The sequence below is a fragment of the Homo sapiens genome, chromosome 5 (assembly GCF_000001405.40).
Source record: "Homo sapiens chromosome 5, GRCh38.p14 Primary Assembly".
In the NCBI taxonomy this organism is placed as follows: Eukaryota; Metazoa; Chordata; class Mammalia; order Primates; family Hominidae; genus Homo; species Homo sapiens.
Window position 1 is genome coordinate 140424166 of NC_000005.10, and position 16647 is coordinate 140440812.

Genomic DNA, 16647 nt, shown 5'->3' on the forward strand with positions numbered 1-16647 from the left:
ATACTTCCACTGCTTTGGCATCAAGAATAATAATACTAGCTACTATATATATATAGAGAGAGAGAGAGAGAGAGAGACAGAGACAGAGATAGAGATGTATCACACACACATCTATATATACACACACGCACTCATCTAGACAATATCTTGTTCTGTCATCCAGGCTGGAATGCAGTGGCTTGATCATGGTTCACTGTAGCCTTGAACTCCTGGGTTCAAGTCATCTTCCCGCCCCAGCCTCCCAAGCAGCTCTGACTCCTCCGGTGCATGCTAGTATGTCTGGCTATTTTTAGTTTTTAATTTTATTTTTTGTAGAGATGATATGTTCAAAAACTACAGCAATTTGGTATGGCTAGAATATAAAAAGCAAATAGAATACAACAAGGATATAGTTGGAAAGATAGTCAAAGCCAAATCCTAAATAACTATATGTGCCATACAAAGAAATTTGGATCCTTTACCTAAGAAATGGGAGGGATTTTAGCCAAAGGAGTGATATGATTGATCTGGTATTAGAGTTAGTGGGCTTGATAATCTGTTACATTTAATTTAAATTCCAAAGTTATTTTCTGACAATATGATTGTTAGGACAGCTGTAGATTTTCTGTTCACTACACTGGTTAGTATTTGTTTTAGTTACACTCTGTTGTTTAGAAGATTCACTTCATCCACTTTGGTGTAGTGAAAAGGGTGTAAACTTTGTTGTCTGAAACACATAGCTTCAGATCCTCACATGGTTTTGTGATCTTGGGCCAGTCACTTAACATTAAGTAGTTAAGATGGTTGAATAAAATAGTATATGGAAAAGGCTGATACATATGAGACATTTTATTAATGGTAGCCTATTATGTTTTTAAAGGTACTTAATAGTAGATTTTTAAAAAGATTTTTCCTTCTCCTGTTTTCAGTTAGGGACTTCAAAAGATAATAGATTCTGTGTTAAAGCTATAGTTTAAAAATGAAGTTTTTGTGTTCGAGCAAAGTGGGGATAATTTTCTTCAGCTTTAACTTAGATTTAGGAAAAGCATGATGGTTCTTTTTTGTGCTACATGAAGCTAACCAATTTCAGAAAACCCAAGATATGATTTCTGTTTTTTATTACTGTTTTTTATTAAGACAGGGTCTTACACTTTTGCCCAGGCTGGAGTGCAGTGGTGTGATCATGGCTCATGCAGCCTCTACCTTCTCCAGCTCAAATGATCCTGCCGCCTCAGCCTCCCAAGTAGCTGGGACTATAGGTATGCACCACCATGCCCAGCTAATTTTTGTTTTTTGTAGAGACAGGGTTTCACCCTGTTGCCCAGGCTGGTTTCTAACTACTGAGCTCAAGCAATCTGCCCACCTTAGCCTCGCTAAGTGCTGGGATTACAGGCATGAGCCACTGCCCCAGGCCTCTTTTCTGTTTTTTGAGAAGGGGGGATTGTGAGTCTGAGACTGGGGGGGAATAAAGTTTTCATTGTAGAAAGAACCTTGAAAAGCTTTTATGTTAATGAATATAGCCTTTTTATTCCAGTATTTTAAGATGTTTTTGCTGAGTATATTAGGCCTTTTTGTAACAACAAAACTCACCCCTAAGTTTGTCATTATTTGGTGCTAAATTACAACAGTATTACTTTTTGCCTTTGAGTTGATCTTAGGGCATGATTATGGTGGTTGCTACTGCTAGAATTTTGGAGTACTGTGTGTTTTGCAAAAAGGAATTGTTATGTCCTTCAGTAATTACTTCTTGGAACACTGGCCCATCCTTTTTGCTGTTCTGAGTAGAGATCAACAATAGGCATTCCAAAATGGTGCTGATCCTGACTTAAAGTGGAGGGCTCACGTTGGGTAGGGGAAGGATAAGACATGTTGGCCTATTCAAATATACATAAGAAAAAGAGGACTAGCGAGTACATGTTTTAAAAATGTATATTTTGGTTGTTTAAAATACCTTCCCATTTTAAATGATCAAATCTGAATTTCTTAAGGGAGCTTCTTTTTTTGGGACAGAGTCTCGCTCTGCCGCCCAGGCTGGAGTACGGTGGCATGATCTTGGCTCACTGCAACTTCTGCCTCCTATGCTCAAGCAATTCTCCTGCCTCAGGTCCCCAGTAGCTGGGACTACAGGCACACACCATCACGCCTGGCTAATTTTTGTATTTTTGGTAGAGACAGGATTTTGCCATGTTGCCCAGGCTGGTCTTGAACTCCTAACCTCAGGTGATCTGCCTGCCTCAGCCTTCCAAAGTGCTGGGGTTACAAGGTGTGAGCCACTGCGCCCAGCTGGGAGCTTTATTTTTGAAGGTTGGTGAGGAGAGGTAGAATGAGATAAAGGTTTAGTCTTTCCTTGAACTTTTTTATTTATTTATTTATTTATTTATTTATTTTTTTATTGATCATTCTTGGGTGTTTCTCGCAGAGGGGGATTTGGCAGGGTCACAGGACAATAGCGGAGGGAAGGTCAGCAGATAAACAAGTGAACAAAGGTCTCTGGTTTTCCTAGGCAGAGGACCCTGCGGCCTTCCGCAGTGTTTGTGTCCCTGGGTACTTGAGACCAGGGAGTGGTGATGACTCTTAAAGAGCATGCTGCCTTCAAGCATCTGTTTAACAAAGCACATCTTGCACCGCCCTTAATCCATTCAACCCTGAGTGGATACAGCACATGTTTCAGAGAGCATAGGGTTGGGGGCAAGGTCACAGATCAACAGGATCCCATGGCAGAATAATTTCTCTTAGTACAGAACAAAATGAAAAGTCTCCCATGTCTACCTCTTTCTACACAGACACGGCAACCATCCGATTTCTCAATCTTTTCCCCACCTTTCCCCCCTTTCTATTCCACAAAACAGCCATTGTCATCATGGCCCGTTCTCAATGAGCTGTTGGGTACACCTCCCAGACGGGGTGGTGGCCGGGCGGAGGGGCTCCTCACTTCCCAGTAGGGGCAGCCGGGCAGAGGCGCCCCTCACTTCCCGGACGGGGCGGCTGGCCGGGCAGGGGGCTGACCCCCCCCACCTCCCTCCCGGACGGGGCAGCTGGCCGGGCAGAGGGGCTCCTCACTTCCCAGTAGGGGCGGCCGGGCAGAGGTGCCCCTCACCTCCCAGACGGGGTGGCTGGCCGGGCGGGGGGCTGACCCCCCCACCTCCCTCCCGGACGGGGCGGCTGGCCGGGTGGGGGGCCGACCCCCCCACCTCCCTCCCGGACGGGGCGGCTGGCCAGGCGGGGGGCTGACCCCCCCCCACCTCCCTCCCCGACGGGCGGCTGGCCGGGCGGGGGGCTGACCCCCCAACCTCTCTCCCGGACGGGGCGGCTGGCCGGGCAGAGGGGCTCCTCACTTCCCAGTAGGGGCGGCCGGGCAGAGGCGCCCCTCACCTCCCGGACGGGGCGGCTGGCCGGGCGGGGGGCTGACCCCCCCACCTCCCTTGCGGACGGGGCGGCTGGCCGGGCGGGGGGCTGACGCCCCCACCTCCCTCCCGGACGGGGCGGCTGGCCGGGCGGGGGGCTGACCCCCCCACCTCCCTCCCGGACGGGGCGGCCGGCCAGGCAGAGGGGCTCCTCACTTCCCAGTAGGGGCGGCCGGGCAGAGGCGCCCCTCACCTCCCGGACAGGGCGGCTGGCCGGGCGGGGGGCTGATCCCCCCACCTCCCTCCCGGACAGGGTGGCTGCCGGGCGGAGACGTTCCTCACTTCCCAGACGGGGTGGCTGCTGGGCGGAGGGGCTCCTCACTTCTCAGACGGGGCGGCTGCCAGGTGGAGGGGCTCCTCACTTCTCAGACGGGGCGGTTGCCAGGCAGAGGGTCTCCTCACTTCTCAGACGGGGCGGCCAGGCAGAGACACTCCTCACATCCCGGACAGGGCGGCAGGGCAGAGGCACTCCCCACATCCCGGACGATGGGCAGCCGGGCAGAGACGCTCCTCACTTCCTAGATGGGATGGCGGCCGGGAAGAGGTGCTCCTCACTTCCTAGATGGGATGGCGGCTGGGCAGAGACGCTCCTCACTTTCCAGACTGGGCAGCCAGGCAGAGGGGCTCCTCACATCCCAGACGATGGGCGGCCAGGCAGAGACGCTCCTCACTTCCCAGACGGGGTGGCGGCCGGGCAGAGGCTGCAATCTCGGCACTTTGGGAGGCCAAGGCAGGCTGCTGGGAGGTGGAGGTTGCAGCGAGCCGAGATCACGCCACTGCACTCCAGCCTGGGCACCATTGAGCACTGAGTGAACGAGACTCCGTCTGCAATCCCGGCACCTCGGGAGGCCGAGGCTGGCGGATCACTCGCGGTTAGGAGCTGGAGACCAGCCCGGCCAACACAGCGAAACCCTGCCTCCACCAAAAAAACACGAAAACCAGTCAGGCGTGGTGGCGCACGCCTGCAATCGCAGGCACTCGGCAGGCTGAGGCAGGAGAATCAGGCAGGGAGGTTGCAGTGAGCCCAGATGGCAGCAGTACAGTCCAGCTTTGGCTCGGCATCAGAGGGAGACCGTGGAAAGAGAGGGAGAGGGAGACCGTGGGGAGAGGGAGAGGGCGAGGGCGAGGGCGAGGTCCTTGAACTTTTTCATAGCTCCAGTTGAAATTCATGAGAGTGGTGATGACTCTTTGTTTTGTTTTTTTAAATTAACCAGCCTAGAATATTCTTTTTATTTTTATTTTTATTTTTATTGAGACGGAGTCTTGCTCTGTTGCCCAGGTTAGAGTGCAGTGGCGCGATCTTGGCTCACTGCAACCTCTGCTGCCTGGGTTCAAGCGATTCTCGTGTGTCAGCCTCCCGAGTAGCTGTGACTACAGGCATGCACCATGAGGTCTGGCAAATTTTTTTTGTATTTTTAGTAGAGACAGGGTTTCACCATGTTGGCCAGGCTGGTCTCGAACTCCTGACCTCAGGTGATCCACTAGCCTTGGCCTCCCAAAGTGCTGGGATTACAGGCATAAGCTACCATGCCCGGCCTAGAATTTTTTTTTTTTTTTTTTTGTGAGATGGAGTCTCGCTCTGTTGTCCAGGCTGAAGTGCAGTGGCACAATCTCGGTTCACTCTAACCTCCACCTCCCAGGTTCAAGCAATTCTCCTGCCTCAGCCTCCCGAGTAGCTGGGACTACAGGCGCCTGCCACCACGCCCGGCTAATTTTTGTATTTTTAGTAAAGACGGGGTTTCACCATATTGGCCAGGCTGGTCTCGATTTCCTGACCTTGTGATCCACCCGCCTCGGCCTCCCAAAGTGCTGGGATTACAGGTGTGAGCCACTGCGCCCAGCCTGGCCTAGAATATTCTTAAAGGATACCAGAAATGAAATTTGTGGCTACTAATATTTGACTCTCTAACTCAAAATATAAATTTATTTAACATGTTAAAAGTAAAAATTTCATAATCCAATTCCAAGGGCTCTGTGGAAAACAATGTATTTTTCATTTATATTTAAGAGCTTGGCTGGTGTTCTTTTTTTTGTTCCCTGCATTGTATGACCACAGGACTAGAGAATACATAAACAAATATATGTAATGTACATGTTTTATGATAGAATATTATTTTTTACTATTAATAACATTTTCTGTGTTAGCTAGCAATTACTATTTCTAGAAATACAGTCTGAGAGAAGTTAATTAGTTATTGATCAATGTAATATGAGATATTATTATTTTATTACAGTATAAGACTTAAAGCATATTACTATTATTGGAAGTTTTAATTATAGCGCTACATAGAAACTGTTTTAATGTGGACGTGAGTTTTGGTTAAATCATAGCTGGATTAATAAATGATTTTTCAAACTAGACTTTGGCCAGAGTGACTGACTGTTCTTTTAGGTGATAATAGCTGAGTCTGTGGTAATCTCTCTTGGTAACTGTTGCATCCAGTGGTTCATTTCTGAAATGTCAAAATGGAATAAAAATGGGACAAAATGCTTGTCCCCCTTCTCCCTTCTCCTCCCTTTTGTTTGTTTTAGTTGAAGCTAAAAACCACACTCCCATACTCCTTGTTTTTTGTTTTTTGTTTTTAAGGCAAGAAGGAAAAATAACCTTTTGAGGAGGAAGACAAAGGTTTTTGTCTTTAGTATTTCAGGAGATATAAGGGAAAAACAGGTAGTTTTTGATGGGCCGTATTCCTTTACCACTCTTTTTCCTCCACCCTTTATTCTTGTACCTAGTCAGAGGTAGGAAAAAAGATTCTTTGGTGTTTAGAACTTGCCTTTGGCAAAAAATAATACTGCTATAAGTGGATGTATTTATTTGCTGCTGAATGTAGCTACTGAATAGAGATGAGCTATGTAACAGTATCATCAGGCAATAAGAACATTGCTGTGATGTTATAGCTATATGTAAGAAAGTATAAGGCTTTTATATTCATTTGCTTGATGAAGACTAATTTCATTAGACATACTATTATTTTGGGCTTATCTGTTATATATAGACATGGTTTCTGTACTCTATCACCAAGCCTTTTATATTAAGTATACAGAATGTATACAGAATTTGTCATATTTAACATATCTCCACGTAGCTATAAATGGTTTCCATCTTTTTTTTTTTTTTTTTTTGACAGAGTCTCACTCTGTCGCCCAGGGTCCAGGTTGAAGTGGAATGGCATGATCATGGCATATAGCAGCCTCAACCTCCTGGGCTCAGGCGATCCTCCCACCTCAGTTTCTTGAGTAGCTGGAACCACAGGCACATGGCCACCATGCCTGGCTAATTTTTAAAAATTATTTTTCGTAGAGACAAGGTCTCACTATGTTGCCCAGGCTGGTCTTGAACTCCTGGGCTCAAGCAGTCCTCCTCCCTCAGTCTCCCAAAGTGTTGGGATTACAAGCATGGGCCACATGTACCCAGCCAGCTGTATTTTGAAGTAATGCTAATGCAATCTGAATTGTAAGAATATGTTTCAGCAGATTTGTTAGGTAAGATATTTGTGAACCGCCAAAAGTAATCTCTCAAATATTTCCAAAATAATAAGCATAATGGGATATTTTGTCCTTTTATTGATTCCACATTGAGACAGACATTTTTAAAGTTATAAAGAGGGTGGGACAAAGGAAACAGTAGTGCTTTTTGGGAAATCTGATTGATACAAATGTATTCATATCATTTATCTGTATGGTTTTGTATTAACTATAACTCATTCTGGGTTTTTTTCCCACAAGTATTGTGGATATTTAAAATTTTATCATATGGGTCAGATATTAGATGTAAAATGCATAAAACCACACTCAAAAGTTCAAGTGAGTGCTGATAAAATGCATCATGTTAGATTCTCAGTATGATTCTTCCACTTTGAAAAGGTGGAGAAAATAGACACTGTGGTGAGGGACAGGACAAAAGAATTGTAATTACACAGAATCATGTTCTAAAAATTATATTTATATGGTGGTTTATTGTTTCAAAATGCTTTTACCTTCATTACCTCATTTCAGGATTTCAATAGCACTGTAAGGTAGGTGGGGCAGATAGTGTCTTTGTTTATTGAGGAAGAAATAGAATGTCAGAAAGGTTGAGTATTATGTCTGAATTTACACACAATGCCTGATAGAACTGGTACTTGAACCTTATTCTCTTGATCTCCAGTGTAATATGCTCTCCATTATGTCTTACTGCCTAATTGAAACTTGAGTTTACATCCACTGTAAGACGTAGAATTAACTCAATAAATTATCTTATGCATTATATTTTCAGAGAAGTTATCAGCCTCTGAAGCAAGGGACACATCACCATTTTGTATTTTTCTTCTGAATTTGATTCTTCCCAAGCACTTATGAATGTGCCATCTTATTTACCTGATGCTATTATTGACACCCAGGAAGTCACTGCTACTGGTTCTTTCTCTCTCTAATGGTGGTAATCAGGCAGGCAATGAACAGTCTGTCACCTTTTATATGGTCTACTCAAATCTATTCCCAGTTGTTCTTTCTAGCCTAATGCCATAGTTGTATTCTAGATACCTTATATCTTTTAAAAATTGAGATATAATTCGTATGCCATAAGATATAGCATTTTAAAGTCTACATTTCAGTGATTTTTAGTATATTTACAAGGTTGTATAGCAATCACTACTATCTAATGCCAGAACATTTTCATCAATCCAAAAAGAAACTTCAGACTCACTTACAGTCACTCCTATTCTTCCCTTCTCCACTCCCAAGGCAACCTATTGTCTTTTTCTATGGATTTGCCTATGCTGGACATTTCATATAAATGGGATCATATAATGGGACCTTTTGTGTCTCCCTTCTTTCACTAAACATAATGTTTTCAAGGTTCATCTATATCATGTATTTCTTCCTTTTGATGGCTGCATAATATTCAATTGCATGGATATATATCATATTTGGTTTATTCATCTACTGATGGACATTTGGGTTGTTTCTACTTTTTGGCTGTTATAAAGAATGCAGGTATGAACGTTTGTGTTTAAGTTTTTGTATGAACATGTATATTTTTAATTATCCTAGGTATATACCTAAGAAGTAGAATTATTGGGTCATATGATAATTCTATGTTTAACTTTTGAAGAACTGTCAAACTGTTTCCACAGTGGCTACACCACTATGTTTCCACCAGCAATGCAGAAAGACCTTATATTAATTTTTTTTTTTTAAGAGACAGTGTCTTGCTCTGTCATCCACATGGAATACAGTCGTACAATCATAGCTCAGTGTAATTTTGAACTTCTGGGCTCAAATGATCCACCTCAGCCTCATGAGTAGCTGGGACTACAGTTTTATGCCATGACGCTAGGCTAATTTTAAAATTTTTTGTAGAGACAAGATCTCACTAGGTTCCCAGGCTGGTCTTAAACTCCTGGCCTCAAATGATCCCCCCCACCCTGGCTTCCCAAAGTGCTGGGTTTATAGACGTGAGCCACTGTGCTCGGCTCGTACCTTACATTTTTTGAGTGGACAATTCATCTCCAAGCCCCACCCCCTTCCCCCCCCCAAAAAAAAAACGGGGGTTTCTTTTGGAGATAGTCTTGCCGTGTTCCCCAGGCTGGAGTGCAGTGCCACAGTCTCAGCTCACTGCAACCTCTGCCTCCTGTGTTCAAGCGATTCTTGTGCCTTAGCCTCCCAAATAGCTGATTACAATCATGTGCCACCACACCCAGCTAATTTTGTATTTTTAGTACAGACAGGGTTTCGCCATGTTGGCCAGGCTAGTCTTGAACACCTGGCCTCAAGTGATCTGTCCGCCTTGGCTTCCCAAAGTGTGGAATTACAGGCATGAGCCACCACACCCAGCCTCCAAGCCTATTTTTTATTTCATTTTCTGCCTCTATCTGAAATATACTTCCTCTTCTGCCCACCTCTACCCCTATGTCTAACTACCTATTGAAATTCTGTGCATCCTTCAAAGCCTAGTTCAAATGTTGCTTCTTGTGCAAAGTCTTCACGGGTTACTAGGGCTGGAAGTGATTTCTCCCTCATTAGTGCATATAGTTGTATCATTTATTTCTCTTTGAGGCCTTTTGTAATAGTTGTTGGAGTCTTTCTTATTTCTTCTACCACATTTTTGTATTATCATAGTGAGAGAGAGATATATATATCTCAAATGCGCCTTTAGTAAATATTGAGAGAATGAGAGACTACTGGAAATCCTTAACTTGGCTTTTTAAAATGTTACATGAGACATATAATATTTATAAAATAGGAATATTAATATGTAAATACTATTTTAAATAAATAATTTTATAATTTTTCCACTGGAATGATGTTTTTACCTGTCCTTCCAACTGGCAGGTATGTATATCTGCAAATATCTCTTAATTTCTTGGCCTTACATTAAGCTGTTGTATGAGCAGTTGCTTTTCAAGGTCATTTGACAACTGGTTGCCTGCATTTATCTATTGGATCTGGCATCTTTGTCTGTAGTTACATGTTAAAGAAGCTGTGTTACAGTATAGCTCAATGTTTTTAGGTCTGAAGTTAAAGATTCATTTTGTAAAATTATAGTACATCATTAGATAATAAAATAAGTTATTTTAACTTTACTGTCTTTATTAGGCTATATTTATTTGGTGTCCATTGTGAAAATTGATGACCAACTAGCCAGATATGCCAAATAATGTAGTCCAGATACTGTGGTCCTTTTTTTTATAAATGTGTGATATCCTAGTGGTTAAAAGCATGGACTCTGTAGGTATGTGGCCTGAGTTTGAAACCTTATTTTTTTTGTTTGTTAGCTGTGTGACCTTGAAGAAGTACTTAATCTTTCTGTTCCTGATGTTTTTCTTTATCTACAAATATGTTAATTTTTCCTGGCTATACATATTTGCATATTACAGTAATATATATAGTATATATATTATCTGTATATTATACAAATTACATATATGCCATACATGTTATATGTATATACGTATATATGTATATGATATACATTACATATATTATGTAAATAATATACATACTACATATTACTCATGAGTACTCATGTTCATATTTACATATATACACATATGTACATTTAGCAAAATAAGAATCATACTGTTTTGAATCTTGTGTATTTTATTTAATTTTATGAATATTCTCATGCCATTAAATATGCTTCAAAAACTTTTTTTTTAATTTTTTATTTCTTCTCACAGTTGAGCCAGTGGTCACAAAAACATTGTTTTTAATGACTGCATGGTAGTCCATCATGTAAATGTACAACATGTATTTCCCAAATTCTGTATTATAATTTTTCCTCATTTTTGGAATTTCAGTTAATGCTGCAGTGAACATCCTTGCACACTAATTTTTGTCTGGCTTTCAGAAAATTTTTTAGTGAGCTTTTTAAGGTATTTTGATACACGTTTCCAAATTGCTTCCCAGAAGGGTTGTATATATTTTATTTAAGAAAATACATTTTGAATTAATTTTATTTGAAATTGGAGGGTTACATGTTTATTTTTGTAAGTTGATTTTTGCTTATACCATTCATTCATTTCAACAAGTATGTATTAAATTCATACTATGTGCCAGGTATTCGTAGGCCCAACGTATAGCACTGTAAACAAAGTACAGTTTTTAACCTCATGGAGTGTTCCTGTCTAAAGGTCTCCAGGTATCAGTGGGTTAGTTTTTATTTTCCCTCATTTCAGAGTCAGAATTGAATAAATTATTTAGAAAAGAGGAAAACTTTTCTCTTAATGACCTATCTATGCTATCAAGTTTGTTGTTGTTGTTGTTGTTGTTGTTGTTTGTTCTATTCTATCTAGTCTATATGGATTTTCTCAGGGTTATGTTCATGTACTTGTTTCAATAAAAAGTAAATGCTTTTTTTTTTTTTGAGATGGAGTTTTTGCTGTGTTGCCCAGGCTAGAGTACAATGGCACGATCTCGGCTCACAGCAACCTGCGTCTTCTCCTGGGTTCAAGCAATTCTGCCTCAGTCTCCTGAGTAGCTGGGATTACAGGCACCACCTCACCACGCCCGGCTAATTTTTATATTTTTAGTAGAGATGAGGTTTCACCATGTTGGCCAGGATGGTCTCAAACTCTTGACCCCAGGTAATCCCCCTGCCTCAGCCTTCCAAAGTGCTAGGATTACAGGTGTGAGCCACTGCGCCCAGCCCCTGCTTTTCTTTTTTCAGTATTAATTTTTTTTTTTAATAGATATGGGGTTTCACCTTGTTGCCCAGGCTGGTGTCAAACTCCTGAGCTCAAGCGATCTGCCTGTCTGGCCCTCCCAAACTGCTAGGATCACAGGCGTGGGCCACTGTGACTGGCCTTAATATTGCTTTTCATGCTCTGTATTAGTCACAGAATATACAATGCTCTTGAGGAAACTTCAGTGTATGTGTGTTATACCTGTAGTCATGTCTGAAGGTAAACAGTCACAATGTCCTTCAAAGTCCATTCCCATACTCCCTTGTTTCTATAATAATTTTTCTGCTTATATTTAAGTTCTAATTAAGAAGTCATATTACCTTAAATTGTAGTTATTCTAATCATATTGATATCAGTTTCATGGATATTGCATCTTTATTTCATTAACAGGTTGAATCATTTATTTTGGACCAAGAAGATCTGGATAACCCAGTGCTTAAAACAACATCAGAGATATTCTTATCAAGTACTGCAGAAGGAGCAGACTTACGCACTGTGGATCCAGAGACACAGGCACGACTAGAAGCATTGCTAGAAGCAGCAGGTACTTTATTTTTTGTTTTATCTTTTTCATATCTTTAAAAGTCTAGATCTCTTTACAGTTACATGAGATTATCCCCAAATTCTATAACATTATACAAAATTTAAAATCTCTAAAATTTATTTTACTTTTTATCTCCCAAAGAAAATGTTCACATTTTGTATTTCTGGGCTCAACTCATATATTTTTAAGGTATTAAGATAATGAGCGTCCAGGCGCAGTGGCTCACGCCTGTAATCCCAGCACTTTGGGAGGCTGAGGCAGGCGGATTGCCTGAGCTCGGAGTTCAAGACCAACCTGGGCAACATGATGAAACCCTGTCTCTACTAAAATAGAAAAAAATTAGCCAGGTATGGCGGTGTGCGCCTGTAGTCCCAGCTACTCAGGCAGCTGAGGCAGGAGAATTGCTTGAACCCTAGAGGGGGAGGTTTCAGTGAGCCGAGATCATGCCATAGCACTCCATCCTGGGCAACAGAGCGAGACTCCGTCTGAAAAAAAAAAAAAAAAGATAATCAGCTAGTTATCAAGGAAAACTTACCTGTTAGCCATTATAAAATAAAAATGTGGGAGATAAATTTAGTTAATCAGTTTATGACTTCTTTATCTGTACTGATTTAGGGAGCTGCATGTTGATTACTTGTGTATTCACTTTAATCTATGTTTAACTTGATTTTAAATAGCTAATTTTTTTATATGTAATGCATATTATAAAATAGCTAAAGCAATGTGAAATATATTAAGTAGATAACAAAACCTTCCCGTTTTCTGTCAAGGTTTACATATACTTCTAGACTTTTCCCCTTATGATAATATAAATACATGTATATGTTTGAACATACATGATTGTTATAAATGAAGTAGGAATAATACACAAAATACAATTTTTTTCCCCATATAATTTATTGTGGGTATCCTTCCATGACAGTTTATGTTGATCTTTCTCCTTTTATTGAAGGGTACCATAATATTCTGTTGCTTGGATGAACCATAATTAATTTTTCCAATTTTAGCTTATATCCAGTTTTTCAGTATCACAAATAATGTTATAGTTTATAGCCTTATATATCTGTAACTTTTCTTACTTGTGCAAGTATCTCTTTAGGACAGATTTTTAGAAAGTATTATCAATGGGTAAGAATACATTTGCATTTAAAATTTTAGCAACTGGCTGGGCGCCATGGCTCATGCCTGTAATCCCAGCACTTCGGGAGGCCGAGGCAGGTGGATCACTTGAGGTCAGGACTTCGAGACCAGCCTGGCCCACATGGTGAAACCTCGTCTTTACTAAAAAAAATACAAAAATTAACTGGGCGTGGCGGCGCACCCCTGTAATCCCAGCTACTCGAGAGGCTGAGGCAGGAGAATCGCTTGAACCCAGAAGGCGGAGGTTGCAGTGAGTTGGGATTGTGCCACTGCACTTCAGTCTGGGTGACAGAGCAAGACTCCGTCTCAAAAAAATAAGTAAAATAAAATTTTGACAACTATTATTAAATTAGTCCCTCAAGTTTGTGCCTGTATTTATTTCTTTATTCACTCAAAAATCAACAATTTTTGAGAGGGCCTCACACCTCAGACATTGTTTTGTCAATTTCATAAATGAAAAATACCTCACCATTTTAGTTTGCATTCATGTTATATCATTAGTAGATTGTGTGGTAGCTCTTTATAAATGACGATATAAATTCATTGGGTATTGTGTATATAATTTTTTAATTTTAATTTTATTTGTAAGAATGAATTTAATTTAAAATGTTGCCCCAGAAGATGGTTGTGACCAAAGGAAGAAACAATTGAATTGTTTGTTACAGTATTACAGACTGTCTCCCCTCTGAAGATACTACTGAAAATAGTAAAGACAGATATCCTGTACTAGAGATCTTATGGTGTGACTATGTATTTTGAAAGAAATCTCATTTATTTGATAGACAGCCTCATATGAAGTTACATGTGGATTAGGTAGAGGACAAATTAATATTATGTGCATTGTAAAGGTAGAAAGACTAAAACATAGGTGGTTATGCCATGGCCTTTTGACATTAGTGGCAGAATTGAATTGATAAGCCTTATCTTCTGTCAACCTAACCTATGGATTCTATACCATTTCTTTTTCCTAGATAATAGTGTTTAGAAATATAATTACAATTTGCACTTTTATACTTTTTTTTTTGTTGTTCTGCACTACCTGATTGATTGATGCACACTGAAGGAATTGGCAAATTGTCAACTGCTGATGGTAAAGCTTTTGCAGATCCTGAGGTACTCCGGAGACTGACATCCTCAGTTAGTTGTGCACTGGATGAAGCTGCTGCTGCACTGACACGGATGAAAGCAGAAAACAGCCACAATGCAGGACAAGTGGACACGTATGTGTTTAATGACTTTTGGATATTAGACATTTTCTTGAATAGATTTTGGGGAAGTAGCCAATTTTGGTTAAATATATCTTTTGGTGGAGCTTATAAACTTTAGCTGAAAGGATATTACATTTTAAGTGGATATATAAATGTATATGTATTATGTAGCTATACAAATGGATATTTTTGTTTCTTCATTCAGCTCTTATTCGTTGAGCATTCTTGTGGAATGTATTACACTAGAGTCTCTGAGAAATCCAAACTGAATAAGATCTGTTTTCCAGTTATAAGGAAGTTACTTATTCTAAAAGTTATTATAGTAAACTCTAAACCGAGTGCTTGAGTACTAATACATGAAACGAGTTACTAATGCAGTAGTGTAGTTGCTTGCTACTCAAATATGGTCCATGGACTGGCAGTATCAGCATCACCTCAGAGCTTGTGAGAAATGCAGAATCCCGGGCCCTACTCCATATCTACTGAATCAGAATCTGCATTTTAACAAGAAATACGAGTAACTCGTACACATTAAAGTTTGAGACTCGGTGGTCTAGTTAGTCATTCTGTGGTAAAATAGTTTTCTTAGGTTTTCGCCTTCACTGTTACTAAGTAAAAATTTCAGCCATAGGATTATATCCCAAAATATCTTTGGGAATCATTATACAAGTAGAGTTTAAAAACTTGTGCATCTAATACAGGGGTGTCCAAATTTTGGGTTCCCTGGTCTACATTGGAAGAAGAAGAATTGTCTTGGGCCACACATAAAATACAAACACTAGAGGCCAGGCATGGTGGCTCATGTTTGTAACCAAGCACTTTGGGAGGCCAAGGTAGGTGGATCACTTCAGGCCAGGAGTTCAAGACCAGCCTGGACAACATGGTGAAAACGCATCTCTCCTAAAAATACAAAAATTAGCCAGCTGTGGTGGCACACATCTGTAATCCCAGCTACTTGAGAGGCTAAGACACAAGAATCACTTGAACCTGGGAGGTGGAGGTTGCAGTGAGCCAAGATTGTGCCACTGCATTCCAGCCTGGGCAACAGAGTGAGACTCTGTCTCAAAACCAAAACAAAACAAAATACAAACACTAATGATAGCTGATGAGCGAAAAGAAAAAAAAAAATTGCAAAAAAATTTCATAATGTTTTAAGAAAGTTTACAAAAATTTGTGTTGGGTTGCTTTCAAAGCTGTCCTGGGCCGTGGGTTGGACATGCTTGGTCTAATGCTTTAAAAAACTTTATTTAAAATTTGTTGTAATATGTTAGGAGATTTTAAAAGATAAAAATGACAGCTGGTTTCAAATTCACTCACTGGCTTTCTGGCTTGGTTGATAAACATGAATAATTGAAGTTGCAGACAAAATGCTCAGCAAGTAATATGTTCATATAATTTTTTCTTTTACTGCATTAACATTTTTCTTTGTGTGACTATTTATATTTAATATAATTTATCATAGGACCCCCGAGTCTTTTTGTTTCGGTTAATTGTTGAATGGTTTTGTTTCCAGTCGCAGTCTAGCAGAAGCTTGTTCAGATGGGGATGTTAATGCTGTTCGTAAATTGCTAGATGAAGGCAGAAGTGTAAATGAACATACAGAAGAAGGAGAAAGCCTGCTGTGTTTGGCTTGTTCAGCAGGGTATTATGAATTAGCACAAGTAAGCAGAAATAATCTTTAGTGATTAAAATTGTGGAAGGGTTTTGATGTTTTATTTATTTTTGTCACTTATAAGATAGATTATAATTAGAGGCCAGAGTCTTCTCTTCCCCCATCCTCCTTCCCTTTTTGGTAGTGGGTAAAGTAGAAACAGATAACACAGTTTATTTTGTTGCCGGTACATGTAACTGAGAATGATCCATTTTTCTGCCACTTACTCAAAGCTAATCCTAATGAATAAGAAACAAATAGATATAATAATAATTTTAAATTTGTCCTTTGAAATAATATACAGCTATAATGGAAAGTAGTCATTATTTTCATCACATTCAGGTTACCCCAATTCTTTTAATTTTTTTCCTTCTATGTTAGAACAGTACTGGGAATTAACCATGTTTTTACCAGTTTCTGTCTTGTGAGTATAGTTTTGCTGTTCTTTGGCTAGATAACCTCAAGCATAACATTCTTTGACAAGAGCCATCACATTTTATAATAGGATGGCTAATATGATTGCATACTTTATTTAAATATTAATATGTAATGATAT

The 16647-nt window shown here is 40.4% G+C and overlaps 2 protein-coding genes across 5 annotated transcripts in view, besides 4 other annotated features; both read left to right on the forward strand.

Moving 5' to 3' along the window:
* Positions 1–16647, forward strand: part of ANKHD1-EIF4EBP3 (ANKHD1-EIF4EBP3 readthrough) — a 147744-nt gene that overhangs the window by 22333 nt on the left and 108764 nt on the right. The window contains exons 2-4 of the mRNA NM_020690.6: positions 11939–12092; positions 14296–14452; positions 15954–16101. Coding sequence (NP_065741.3) covers positions 11939–12092; positions 14296–14452; positions 15954–16101 — 459 coding nt within the window. The remainder of the gene's footprint in view (positions 1–11938; positions 12093–14295; positions 14453–15953; positions 16102–16647) is intronic.
* ANKHD1 (ankyrin repeat and KH domain containing 1) overlaps positions 1–16647 on the forward strand; it is a 138017-nt gene that overhangs the window by 22333 nt on the left and 99037 nt on the right. For 3 of the 4 annotated variants that reach the window (NM_017747.3, NM_024668.4, NM_001197030.2), the window contains exons 2-4: positions 11939–12092; positions 14296–14452; positions 15954–16101. In NM_017747.3, coding sequence (NP_060217.1) covers positions 11939–12092; positions 14296–14452; positions 15954–16101 — 459 coding nt within the window. The remainder of the gene's footprint in view (positions 1–11938; positions 12093–14295; positions 14453–15953; positions 16102–16647) is intronic. The other variant, NM_017978.3, reaches the window with a different exon arrangement.
* Positions 1680–2180: an enhancer, noted in NCBI's record as "H3K27ac hESC enhancer chr5:139805430-139805930 (GRCh37/hg19 assembly coordinates)". NCBI's record gives its function as "activates a minimal SCP1, AML or CMV promoter by ChIP-STARR-seq in primed H9 embryonic stem cells {active_cell/tissue: H9 hESC(primed)}" and the evidence as "EXISTENCE:reporter gene assay evidence [ECO:0000049][PMID:30033119]".
* Positions 2181–2681: an enhancer, noted in NCBI's record as "H3K27ac hESC enhancer chr5:139805931-139806431 (GRCh37/hg19 assembly coordinates)". NCBI's record gives its function as "activates a minimal SCP1, AML or CMV promoter by ChIP-STARR-seq in primed H9 embryonic stem cells {active_cell/tissue: H9 hESC(primed)}" and the evidence as "EXISTENCE:reporter gene assay evidence [ECO:0000049][PMID:30033119]".
* Positions 4304–4813: an enhancer, noted in NCBI's record as "H3K27ac-H3K4me1 hESC enhancer chr5:139808054-139808563 (GRCh37/hg19 assembly coordinates)". NCBI's record gives its function as "activates a minimal SCP1, AML or CMV promoter by ChIP-STARR-seq in primed H9 embryonic stem cells {active_cell/tissue: H9 hESC(primed)}" and the evidence as "EXISTENCE:reporter gene assay evidence [ECO:0000049][PMID:30033119]".
* Positions 9079–9579: an enhancer, noted in NCBI's record as "H3K4me1 hESC enhancer chr5:139812829-139813329 (GRCh37/hg19 assembly coordinates)". NCBI's record gives its function as "activates a minimal SCP1, AML or CMV promoter by ChIP-STARR-seq in primed H9 embryonic stem cells {active_cell/tissue: H9 hESC(primed)}" and the evidence as "EXISTENCE:reporter gene assay evidence [ECO:0000049][PMID:30033119]".